Genomic DNA, 10,893 nt, shown 5'->3' with positions numbered 1-10,893 from the left:
CCTTGCAAGATGGTATTTCAGCTTATAGAAGATATATTGCAAATCAACTACTTCTGGGCGTAAAGGCCTAGTTGGCAGAGGTGAATTAGATGAAGGGATCAATTTACAAAAAGTTGATTGTTGAAAAAATGCTCACTTATGAACAGTTTATGTGGGTTTTGGATTTGTATTCTGTTTGTGATATTTCCACAGACTTTCAGACTATCTAATTTTGTAATACAATTCGCTAAAACAGTTGATTTATAAAATGTACCATGGTATTTGTGTTTGACTGTCACTTTAATGACCAAAGACAATAATAAAAGTGGAAGGGTTCTAACTTAATTTCAACTCCGTATTTACTTCCTGATAGGTGGAATAGGCTTTTGCACATATTCCAACTAGAGGTTCCAGTATTTGTGTCACCCTAAATTATCCTAGAATTTTAAGATTATTTGTGTGTATTTTGAGATACTTTTATTTCTGGCGCAGGCGGTTTACGATATGATAAACTTAAATCCTCAATACTTACTGTGTTTTATATCTCACATACAAGTCGTGTGATTATGATTGTTACGCTCAACTTGGAAAGTTAATCGTTTTGCAATGTAATATGAGGAACAAGTACTTAATTTTGTTGGTGATTTTAAATATCTTTTTTTTTTCTTGAGACAGAGTTTTGCTCTTGTTGCCCAAGCTGGAGGGCAATGGCATGATCTCGGCTCACTGCAAACTCTGCCTCCCAGGTTCAAGCGATTCTCCTGCCTCAGCCTCCCAAGTAGCTGGAAATGTAGGTTCCCCACACCATGCCCGGCTGATTTTTGTATTTTTGGTAGAGACGGGGTTTCACCATGTTGGTCAGGCTGGTCTTGAGCTCCTGACCTTGTGATCCGCCTGCCTCGGCCTCCCAAAGTGCTGGGATTACAGGCGTGAGCCACTGCGCCTGGCTGATTTTAAAATATCTTAAACTTGGAAAATTTTAAACAAAACATCTAAAGAAAGTAAAGTTGGTTTATCTTTTGAAAAGAGGTGGCATCTTGATCATAATGAAAGGTCTTATTTAAGATTATCTGGGAAACCCCTAGAACTTTGGTTAGAAGCACTGAAAAATGCAGTGCATTTATGGAGTGTTAGAAATGTGGAGAATTGAAATAGAATTTAGCTTTTATTACCTTTAAGCAAATACAGTTAGTTCAACCAGCTTCTCAAAATCTGGTCATGTGCACCCTCTAAGAAACCTGTTCTAATGAACAAGTAAGGATTTTCTATTTGTGTGTAAGCCAGTGGACTCTAAAAATACTTAGTTTCTTAATATTGCCTTTGAGGCTCAATTTAAAAGTTTAACTCTTAAACAATAATCTCACAGTGATGCTTCCTTTTTAAAAAAATTTACGGCCAGGCGCAGTGGCTCACGCCTGTAATCCCAACACTTTGCGAGGCCAAGGTTGGCGGATCACCTGAGGTTGGGAGTTCAAGACCAGCCTGACTAACATGGAGAAACCCCGTCTCTACTCAAAATACAAAATTAGCTGAGCGTGGTGGCACATGCTTGTAATCCCAGCTACTGGGGAGGCTGACCAGGAGAATTGCTTGAACCCGGAGGCGGAGGTTGCAGTGAGCCGAGATTGTGCCATTGCACTCCAGCCTGGGCAACAAGAGCGAAACTTTGTCTCAAAAAACATTTTTTTTACTTCAACAATTACATGTGTAGTTTATACCACACTATTAAAAGTTGTTTTTTTTTCTGTAGTTCTTTGCTTATCCGTGGCTATGATGGAGCATGATAATGAACATGAGTGGTTGGAGCTTGATAAAACTTGTTGAAGTAGATTATATGTGTTTCTTGTGATCTCATTTGCAGTAATTACCTATAAAGTCTGCCCTTTTCCCGCCTGTACCTTGTACAAAGATGAGCATCAGTTCAACGTTGATTTAGAAATTCAGAGTTGGCCGGGCAACTCTGAATACAGCTCACGCCTGTATTCCCAACACTTTGGGAGGCCGAGGTGGGCGGATCACAAGGTCAGGAGCTCGAGACCAGCCTGGCCAATATGGTGAAACCCCATCTCTACTAAAAATTCACCAATTAGCCGGGTGTGGTGGTGTAGGCATCTGTAGTCCCAGCTACTTGGGAGGCTGAGGCAGGAGAATTGCTTGAACCCTGGTAGGCGGAGGTTGCAGTGAGCCGAGATCATGCCACTGCACTCCAGCCTCGGCCACAGAACAAGACTCCATCTCAAAAAAAAAAAAAAAAAAAACAAAGTTACAGTCCTCCCAAAATGTGCTCAGAATTCATCTTTAAATACGACACCCTGTAACAGTTTAGCCAGCTGAGAGAAGCAATAAAATTGTGCATATTTTTGGGTGGTGTGTTTCCAGGTCATGCTGAAAAATACGTAATTAGTATTAAAGCAACCTCACAAAACAGTCAGACGTGGTGGTGCGCCCCTGTAATCCCGCCTCGGCAGGAGGCTGAGGCAGGAGGATTGTTTGAGGCCAGGAGTTCGAGACCAGCGTGGGCAACATAGTAAGACTGCTTTTTTTATTATTATTATTTTTTTATTTTTTATTTGGAGACAGAATCTCGCTGTGTCACCCAGGCTGGAGTGCAGTGGCACGGTTTCGGCTCACTACAACCTCTGCCTCCCTGGGTTCAGCAATTCTCCTGCCTCAGCCTCCCAAGTGGCTGGGATTACAGGCACACGTCACCATGCCCAGCTAATTTTTGTATTTTTAGTAGAAACGGGGTTTCACCATATTGGCCAGGCTGGTCTGAACTCCTTACCGTGTGATCTACCCGCTTCCGTCTCCCAAAATGCTAGGATTACAGGCGTGAGCCACCGCGCCTGGCCAAGACTGCTGTCTTGAAAAAACAAACCAAAAACACTGTTTCTTGTGAAATTAACAAACAGTGATCACACTTAGAGAAGGCTACCTGGGCAAACGAGTGTAATAAATTTTTTTTTTTTTTTTTGACACGGAGTCTAACTCTCACCCAGGCTGGAATGCAGTGTCGGCTAGCTGCAACCTCCACCTCCCGGATTCAAGTGATTCTTCTGCCTCAGCCTCCTGAGTAACTGAGACTACAGGCACCCGCCTCCTTGCCTGGCTAATTTTTGTATTTTTAGTAGAGGTGGGATTTTGCCATGTTGGCCAGGCTTGTCTCAAACTCCTGACCTCAGGGGATCTGCCTGCCTGTACCTCCCAAAGTGCTGCAATTACAGGAGTGAGCCAGCATGCCTGGCCTAAAAATTTTGTTTAAAAAATTTTTAGTTGATAAATAATAATTTTACATATTCATGGTGTACATAGTGATGTTTCAATACATAAAACGTATAGTGATCAGTTGAAGTTAATTAGTATATCCATCTCAAACATTTAGCATTTGCTTTGGGAACATTCAGTATCCTCCTAGCTATTTGAAACTGTATCATATATTATTGTTTTTTTGAGATAGGGTTTCTTTCCCATTGCCCAGGCTGGAGTGCAGTGGTATGCTCTTGGGTCACTACAGCCTCCGCTTCCTGGGCTTAAGCAATCCTCCTGCCACATCCTCCCAAGTAGCTGGGACTACAGGCATGTGCCACCAAGCCCGGCTAATTTTTGTATTTTTAGTAGAGATGGGGTTTCACCACGTTGGCCAGGCTGGTCTTGAACTCTTGAACTCAAGTGATCTGCCCGCCTTGGCCTCCCAAAGTGCTGGGATTATAGGCATGAGCCACCATGCCCGGCTTGTATCATATATTATTGTTAACCGTAGTCATTCTGTAGTAGTACTTATTCCTTCTATCTCACTGTAATTTTATATTCTTTAACAAATCTCTCCCTATCCCTCCCCTCCCTCTACCATTCCCAGCAAATTTTGTTGTGTTTTTGTTTATTTTATTTTATTTTTTTTTGAGACAGAGTCTTGTTCTGTCACCCAGGCTGGAGTGCAGTGGCGCCATCTCTGCTCACTGCAAGCTCCGCCTCCCGGGTTCACGCCATTCTCCTGACTCAGCTTCCCGAGGAGCTGGAACTACAGGCGCCCGCTACCACGCCCGGCTAATTTTTTGTATATTTAGTAGAGATGGGGTTTCACCATGTTGGCCAGGATGGTCTCGATCTCTTGACCTCGTGATCCACCTGCCTCGGCCTCCCAAAGTGCTGGCATTACAGGCGTGAGCCACCGTGCCTAGCCGTGTTTTTGTTTATTAATAGAGACAGGGCCTTGCATTGTTGCCCAGGCTGGTCTCAAACTCCTGGTCTGAAGCCATTCTCCTGCCTCAGCCTCCCCAAGTACTGGAATTACAGGCATGAGCTACCATGCCTGGCCAGTTAATTGTGTTTTAAATGAAAGGGTAGACACAAGTGTGGGTAGTATAGCTTTGTATTAGATATGCACAGACTTTTTGATAAGAGTAAGGACTTAATGTGGAATGTTTAAAGTTTGGCAGAATGCAGTATCGTTAAAAGTAACAGATTATGAACAGTTCGTTTTGTCATCAGTTTTTGGTGAGAGTATTAATATTATTAGTTATACCTCTAGTCCTGAGAATCTGAAGCTGTAAACTTTCACTGTGGAAACATGCAGAGGCATACAGACACAGAATTGTGCTTACAGGTTGAGGACCCGTTGAAGTTTGTTCCTGGAACCAGACTAAGGATCCTATCATAAGTACCCTTGCCCCACCACACCCACCCTTTTTAAATATAATCTTGACACATATCATAAAAGTTGAAACTACATTTCAAAATCATATTTGGCTTTAGTGTTAGAATAACCAATCCCAACAATACTAAAATACTGGACTTGCCATTTTCTTTTCATGCTTCATTTTAAAAACATTTAAAAAGCTTGGATGTATTGAGTAAATTTTGCTGTTATCATTTTGTGGGATTACATTCTGTTTAGGATAAATTTTAAATTTCTGTTCCTCTGCTTGTTCTGTTGAGTTTGTCTGATAACTGCTTTTGTAGTTACTTTTGTGAACCAGTTTACAAAGGCCAAAGCATTTCTAGATCTTGGTGAGGAGTTGGAGGCTTAAAATTACATGCTTTAGGCCATCACCATAGCAAACTCACTAGTAAACTGAGGTTATTTACCTCGTAAGGTAAATTTCTCTGAAAGCAGAGTGAAAATTACATAGTACCTCTTTTTTTTTTTTTTTTTTTTTTTGAGACGGAGTCTCGCTCTTTCGCCCAGGCTGGAGTGCAGTGGTGCGATCTTGGGCTCACTGCAACCTCCGCCTCCTGGGACTACAGGCGTGAGCCACCACGCCTGGTGTACGTCATTGTTTTAAACCACTTATGTGTTGTAGATTTTACTCTGTGTATTCGTTTGGTGGGTTATAGTTTACCAAGTTGTCCAAAATGGATAATTCATGTGAGATAGGCAAGAGCAAGTGTTGTATCCCAATACCATTTGGTGAAAAAGTTGAACTTCAGAAAGGATAAGTAGTTTGCCAAGATCACCTGTCAACCTGCATAGTCAAATTTGAGATGGAACTCAGCTACTCCAATATCTGTATTTGCAGAATAATTCTGTTGTGTTTATTTTGTTGGTGGTGGTGTTTTTGAGACGGAGTCTCACTCTGTTGCCCAGGCTGCAGTGCAATGGCACGATCTCAGCTCACTGCAACTTCCACCTCCTTGCTTCAAGTGATTCTCCTGCCTCATCCTCCTGAGTAGCTGGAATTAGAGGCGCCTGCCACCACGCCCAGCTAATGTTTGTATTTTTAGTCGAGACTAATTTTCACCAGTTTGGCCACACTGGTCTTGAACTAATGATGTCAGGTGATCCACCTGCCTCGGCCTTTCAGTGTGTTTTATTTTTAAAGCAGATTACTTTATTGAATAGTTTGTGTTGGGTACTTAAGTACTTTACATGCTTTGCATGCTGCTGATTTAATCAGTTCTTTGAGGGAGGTACTCTGTCATCCTTTTCAGATGAGGGAACTAAGGTTTAGAGAATTTATGTGACTTGCTTAGGGTCACATGTGACTGTTTGGTGGAACCACAGGACTTAATCCCAGATTAGGCTAAGAGTTTTTTTTTTTTTTGAAAAGGAATTTTGTTCCTGTTGCCCAGGCTGGTGTGCAATGGCATGATCTCGGCTCATTGCAACCTCCGCCTCCTGGGTTCAAGCGATTCTCCTGCCTCAGCCTCCTGAGTAGCTGGGATTACAGGCATGCACCACCATGCCTGGCTAATTTTTGTAATTTTAGTCGATGTGGGGTTTCACCATGTTGGCCAGGATGGTCTTGAATTCCTGACCCCAGGTAATCCGCCTCCCTTGGCCTCCCAAAGTGTTGGGTTTAGGGGTGTGAGCCATCCTGCCTGGCCTAAAAGTTCTTACTAGTTAACATTGTATAAATTTTATGATGATCTATCTGAATCACCACTGTTCAGTTGGCAAAGTGAAAATTACTGACCGTGTTTTATGTATCTTCAAAAATTCAGACAAATTTCTGTGATAATTGTAGTAGGAATTCAAAAGTGGTAATAAGTATAGCTGAATAAGAATCTTTTTCATTGAATAAAATTTCAAATTTTTTGATTTTTGATTATTTTTTAAGAGACAGTGTATCACCCATGCTGGGGTGCAGTGGCCCAATTATAGCTCACTGCAGCCTCAAGCTCCTGGGCTCAAGTGATGCTCCTGCCTCAGCCTCCCAAAGTGTTGGGGTATGCTGTACCCGGCTGAGAATCTTTCTTAATACTGTTATTCTGCAGTGAACCGTTTAATAAAACTACATGTTTCCAGAGCTTTTTAGATACTATGAGTATATAGGTACGAAATCAATTAGTAACATAACTTTTTCAGTAGACATTTAATCTAAAGTTGGAATTTTTTTCCCCCCTTTGGAGATGGAGTCTTATTCTGTCATCCAGGCTGGAGTGCAATGAAGTGATTATTGCTTACTATAACTTGACCTCCTGGGCTCAAGTGATTTTCCTGTCTCACCCTCCTGAGTAGCAGGGACTATAGGTGTGTATACCAGCACACCTGGCTGCCTTTTTTTTTTTTTTTTTGGGAAACAGTTTCCCTCTGTCTCCCAGGCTGGAGTGCATTGGTACAGTCTCGGCTCACTGCACCCTCTGCCTTGGGGGGCTCAAGCAGTTCTTGTGCCTCACCCTCCCAAGTAGCTGGGATTATAGGCATGTGCCATCATGCCGGGCTAATTTTTGTATATTTAGTAGAGATGGGGTTTCGCCATGTTGGTCAGGCTGGTCTCAAACTCCTGGCCTCAAGTGATCCGCTTGCCTCAGCCTCCCAGAGTGCTGGGATTACAGGGTGTGAGCTACTTTGTCCGGTTCTCCTGAATTGATTTTTTTTTTTTTTTTGGAGACGGAGTCTTACTCTGTGGCCCAGGCTGGAGTGCAGTGGCATGATCTTGGCTCACTTCAACCTCCTCTTCCTGGGTTCAAGCAATTCTCCTGCCTCAGCTTCCCAAGTAGCTGGGATTACAGGTGCGTACCACCATGCCCAGCTAATATTTGTGTTTTTTGTAGGAATGGGGCTTCACTGTTTTGCCCAGGCTGTTCTCAAACTCCTAGCCTCAAGTGATTCACCCACCTCGGCCTCCCAAACTGCTGGGATTACAGGCATGAGCCACCACGCCTGGCTGATTTTCTTTTTTTTTTTTTTCCCCCTGAGATGGAGTCTTGTTCTGTTGCCCCAGGCTGGAGTGCGATGGCCTGATCTTGGCTCACTGCAACCTCCGCCTCCCGGGTTCAAGCGATTTTCCTGCCTCAACCTCCTGGGTAGCTGTGATTACAGGCAACTGCCACCATGCCTGACTAATTTTTGTTACGTTTAGTAGAGATGAGGTTTCACCATGTTGGCCAGGCTGGTCTTGAACTCCTGACCTCATGATCTGCCCACCTCGGCCCCCTAAAATGCTGTGACTACAGGTGTGAGCCACCGCGTCTGGCTGAAAACATGTTTTTGTATAAGATTTCATTTTATATAAAATTTAATATATCTGTTTCCAGTTCTCCCATATTATGAATAATGCCGCAAATGTACATCTTTCTACTTAAATCTTTTATCTACATCCCTGGTTCTTTTAGATTTCTAGACGTGAGTTTACTGTGTCAAAAAATATAAACATTTTTCATTATTTTCATACTGTTTGCTTGCCAGAAAGGATATATTGATCTTTTAGTCGTAGTCGTGCCTGTGTAAGGGCACTTTCACCTGTCTTGAATATTATCCTTTAGAAAGTGTTATTTTAGCAGGGCATGGTGATGTGTGCCTGTAGTATTCCCAGCTACTCAGGAGGCTGAGGTGGGAGGATCACTTGAGCCCTGGAATTCAAGGCTAGCCTGGGCAACATAGCAAGACTTCATCTCTTAAAATAAAAGTTATTTTGGTAGAGAATGTATTAAGCAATTACTAGTAAATTTAACCATTCATATTTTTGTTATTTAATGAATTGTATGTTTTTTTTTCTGTATTTCAGATTTCAGTGTTTTGGGTTTTTTTTTTTATTTTTTTGAGGCGGAATTTCGCTCTTGTTCACTAGGGTGGAGTGCAATGGTGCCATCTCGGCTCACTGCAACCTCTGCCTCCCAGGTTCAAGTGATTCTCCTGCCTCAGACTCCCGAGTAGCTGGGATTACAGGGGCCTGCCACCATGCCTGGCTAATTCTTTTGCATTTTTAGTAGAGACAGGGTTTCATCCTGTTGGCCAGGCTGGTCTTGAACTCCTGAGCTCAAGTCATCCACCTGCCTCAGCCTCCCAAAATGCTGAGATTACAGTTGTGAGCCACCCTGCCCGGCCCCTCTTACCTTCTTTCAAAATTCAAAGCTCGCTTTTTTTCTAACTTGTAAGTTTTATTAATAAGAATGAAATAACAACAACAACAAAAAGCTCACCTTTACCTGTTTTTTTTTTCTTTTTTTTTTTTTGAGATGGAGTCTCGCCCTGTTGCCAGGGTGGAGTGCAGTGGCGCGATCTTGGCTTCCTGGACCTCCACCTCCCAGGTTCAAGTGATTGTCCTGCCTCAGCCTCTCGAGTACCTGGGACTACAGGCGTGCGTCACTATGCCCAGCTAATTTTTATGTTTTTAGTAGAGACAGAGTTTCTCCATGTTGGCCAGGATGGTCTCGATCTCCTGAACTCGTGATCCACTTGCCTCGGCCTCCCAAAGTACTGGGATTACAGGCATGAGCTGCCACACCCGGCCTTCTACCTGTTTTATGAATCGAAATTCTATGTAAGATTTCTTTTGAGGAGAAAAAGGGTATACAGTATTCCCCCCTTATCCAAGTGGAATGTGTTCTGAGACTTCCAGTGGATACCTCAAACCACAGATAGTGCTGTACCCTATATACTGTTTTTTTTCTCATTATTTTAAGAACTTTCACCTTTTCACTTCAAATAAGCTTTTCTTTGGCATATCTGAATTACTAGTATCGCTGCTCTTGCACTTTGGGGCCATTATTGGGTAAAGTAAGGGTTACTTGAATACAAGCATTGTGTAGTGCCACAGTGGATCTGATAACCAGGACAGCTACTTAGTGACTTAATGGGTAGGTTGCATGTGCAGCCTGGATATGCTGGACAAAAGGATGATTCACATCCTAGACGGGACGGCACAAGATTTCATCATGCCACTCGGAATGGCAATTTAAAACTTATGAATTGTTTATTTCTGGAATTTTCCATTTAATATTTTTGGACCATAGTGACTGTGGTTAACTATGGAAAGCAAAACCAAAGATAATAAGGGAGACTATTGTAATTTCTTAATAAGCTTGGAAACTAAGTAATATGTGGGTGCTCAAAAAAAGCCAACATAAAACTGTTTTCAAGTATCTTTTTTCTGAGATGGAGTCTTGCTCTGTCGCTCAGGCTGGAGTGCAGTGGTGCGATCTCGGCTCACTGCAAGTTCTGCTTCCTGGGTTGACGCCATTCTCCTCCCTCAGCCACCCGAGTGGCTGGGACTACAGGCGTCCGCCACCATGTCCAGCTAATTTTTTTGTATTTTTAGTAGAGATGGGGTTTTACCGTGTTAATCAGGATGGTCTTGATCTCCTGACCTCAGGTGATCTGCCCACCTTGGCCTCCCAAAGTGCTACGATTACAGGTGTGAGTCACTGTGCCTGGCCTTTTTTTTTTTTTGGCTCTGTAGCCCAGGCTGGAGTGCAGTGGCTTAATATCAGCTCACTGCAGCCTTCGCCTCCCGGGTTCAAGCGATTCTCCTGCCTCAGCCTCCTGAGTAGCTGGGATTACAGGTGCCTGCCACCACGCTCGGCTAATTCTTTTGTATTTTTAGTAGAGACGGGGTTTCACCGTGTTGGCCAGGCTGGTTTCGAACTCTTGACCTGAAGTGATCCGCCCGTCTTGGCCTCCCAAACTGCTAGGATTATGGGTGTGAGCCACCGTGCCTGGCCTGTTTTCAAGTATCTTAATTGTGCCCAAATTTTAGGAGGTGGTGTCATGCTTATGAAGTTGGAATACTATGATGAATTATATTTAACACAGTGATGATAATACACTTCTGTAGCTATTTGAACACTGAAATTTCTTATACAGTGTTTTCCTTGAAGGTACTTCCTTTGTAAGAGTCATGAGAAATAGAAAGATTTGTCTAAGGTCACACAGCAAAGAAGTAGCAGGGGTAGGACTAGAATTTAGTTGTGCTTATTTCTTCTCTGTACTTTTCACTAACCAAGCTATCTTTTTTTATTTTTATTTTTTAATTTTTAAGAGGACCCTGACTGTGGAAGTTGGGAAACTCATAAGAAACCATTAAAGGAACTGTGGAGAGATTTATTTGGGCTAAAGTGGATTAGGCAAGATTTGTTTTTATTTTTTCCCGAGATGGAGTCTTGATTTGTCACCCAGGTTGGATTGCAGTGGCGCAGTCTCGGCTCACTGCAACTTCCACCTCCCGGGTTCAAGCAATTCTCCTGCCTCAGCCT

At 42.9% G+C, this 10,893-nt stretch overlaps 1 protein-coding gene across 1 annotated transcript in view, besides 6 other annotated features; it reads left to right on the top strand.

Moving 5' to 3' along the window:
• Positions 1–10,893, top strand: part of USP34 (ubiquitin specific peptidase 34) — a 283,625-nt gene that overhangs the window by 1,233 nt on the left and 271,499 nt on the right. The window lies entirely within an intron of this gene.
• Positions 2,490–2,989: an enhancer, noted in NCBI's record as "H3K27ac hESC enhancer chr2:61694001-61694500 (GRCh37/hg19 assembly coordinates)". NCBI's record gives its function as "activates a minimal SCP1, AML or CMV promoter by ChIP-STARR-seq in primed H9 embryonic stem cells {active_cell/tissue: H9 hESC(primed)}" and the evidence as "EXISTENCE:reporter gene assay evidence [ECO:0000049][PMID:30033119]".
• Positions 3,518–4,037: an enhancer, noted in NCBI's record as "H3K4me1 hESC enhancer chr2:61692953-61693472 (GRCh37/hg19 assembly coordinates)". NCBI's record gives its function as "activates a minimal SCP1, AML or CMV promoter by ChIP-STARR-seq in naive H9 embryonic stem cells {active_cell/tissue: H9 hESC(naive)}" and the evidence as "EXISTENCE:reporter gene assay evidence [ECO:0000049][PMID:30033119]".
• Positions 4,038–4,558: an enhancer, noted in NCBI's record as "H3K4me1 hESC enhancer chr2:61692432-61692952 (GRCh37/hg19 assembly coordinates)". NCBI's record gives its function as "activates a minimal SCP1, AML or CMV promoter by ChIP-STARR-seq in naive H9 embryonic stem cells {active_cell/tissue: H9 hESC(naive)}" and the evidence as "EXISTENCE:reporter gene assay evidence [ECO:0000049][PMID:30033119]".
• Positions 5,443–5,662: an enhancer, noted in NCBI's record as "active region_15830". NCBI's record gives its function as "activates an Ori minimal core promoter by ATAC-STARR-seq in GM12878 lymphoblastoid cells {active_cell/tissue: GM12878}" and the evidence as "EXISTENCE:reporter gene assay evidence [ECO:0000049][PMID:35858748]".
• Positions 9,367–9,661: a silencer, noted in NCBI's record as "tiled region #6736; HepG2 Repressive DNase unmatched - State 5:Enh". NCBI's record gives its function as "represses a minimal TATA promoter and a strong SV40 promoter by Sharpr-MPRA in HepG2 cells {active_cell/tissue: HepG2}" and the evidence as "EXISTENCE:reporter gene assay evidence [ECO:0000049][PMID:27701403]".
• Positions 10,475–10,675: a silencer, noted in NCBI's record as "peak3715 fragment used in MPRA reporter construct". NCBI's record gives its function as "represses an SCP1 promoter by STARR-seq MPRAs in K562 erythroleukemia cells {active_cell/tissue: K562}" and the evidence as "EXISTENCE:reporter gene assay evidence [ECO:0000049][PMID:32103011]".

The sequence above is a fragment of the Homo sapiens genome, chromosome 2, assembly GCF_000001405.40.
Source record: "Homo sapiens chromosome 2, GRCh38.p14 Primary Assembly".
NCBI classification, from domain to species: Eukaryota; Metazoa; Chordata; class Mammalia; order Primates; family Hominidae; genus Homo; species Homo sapiens.
This window is presented reverse-complemented; position numbering and strand designations above follow the sequence as displayed.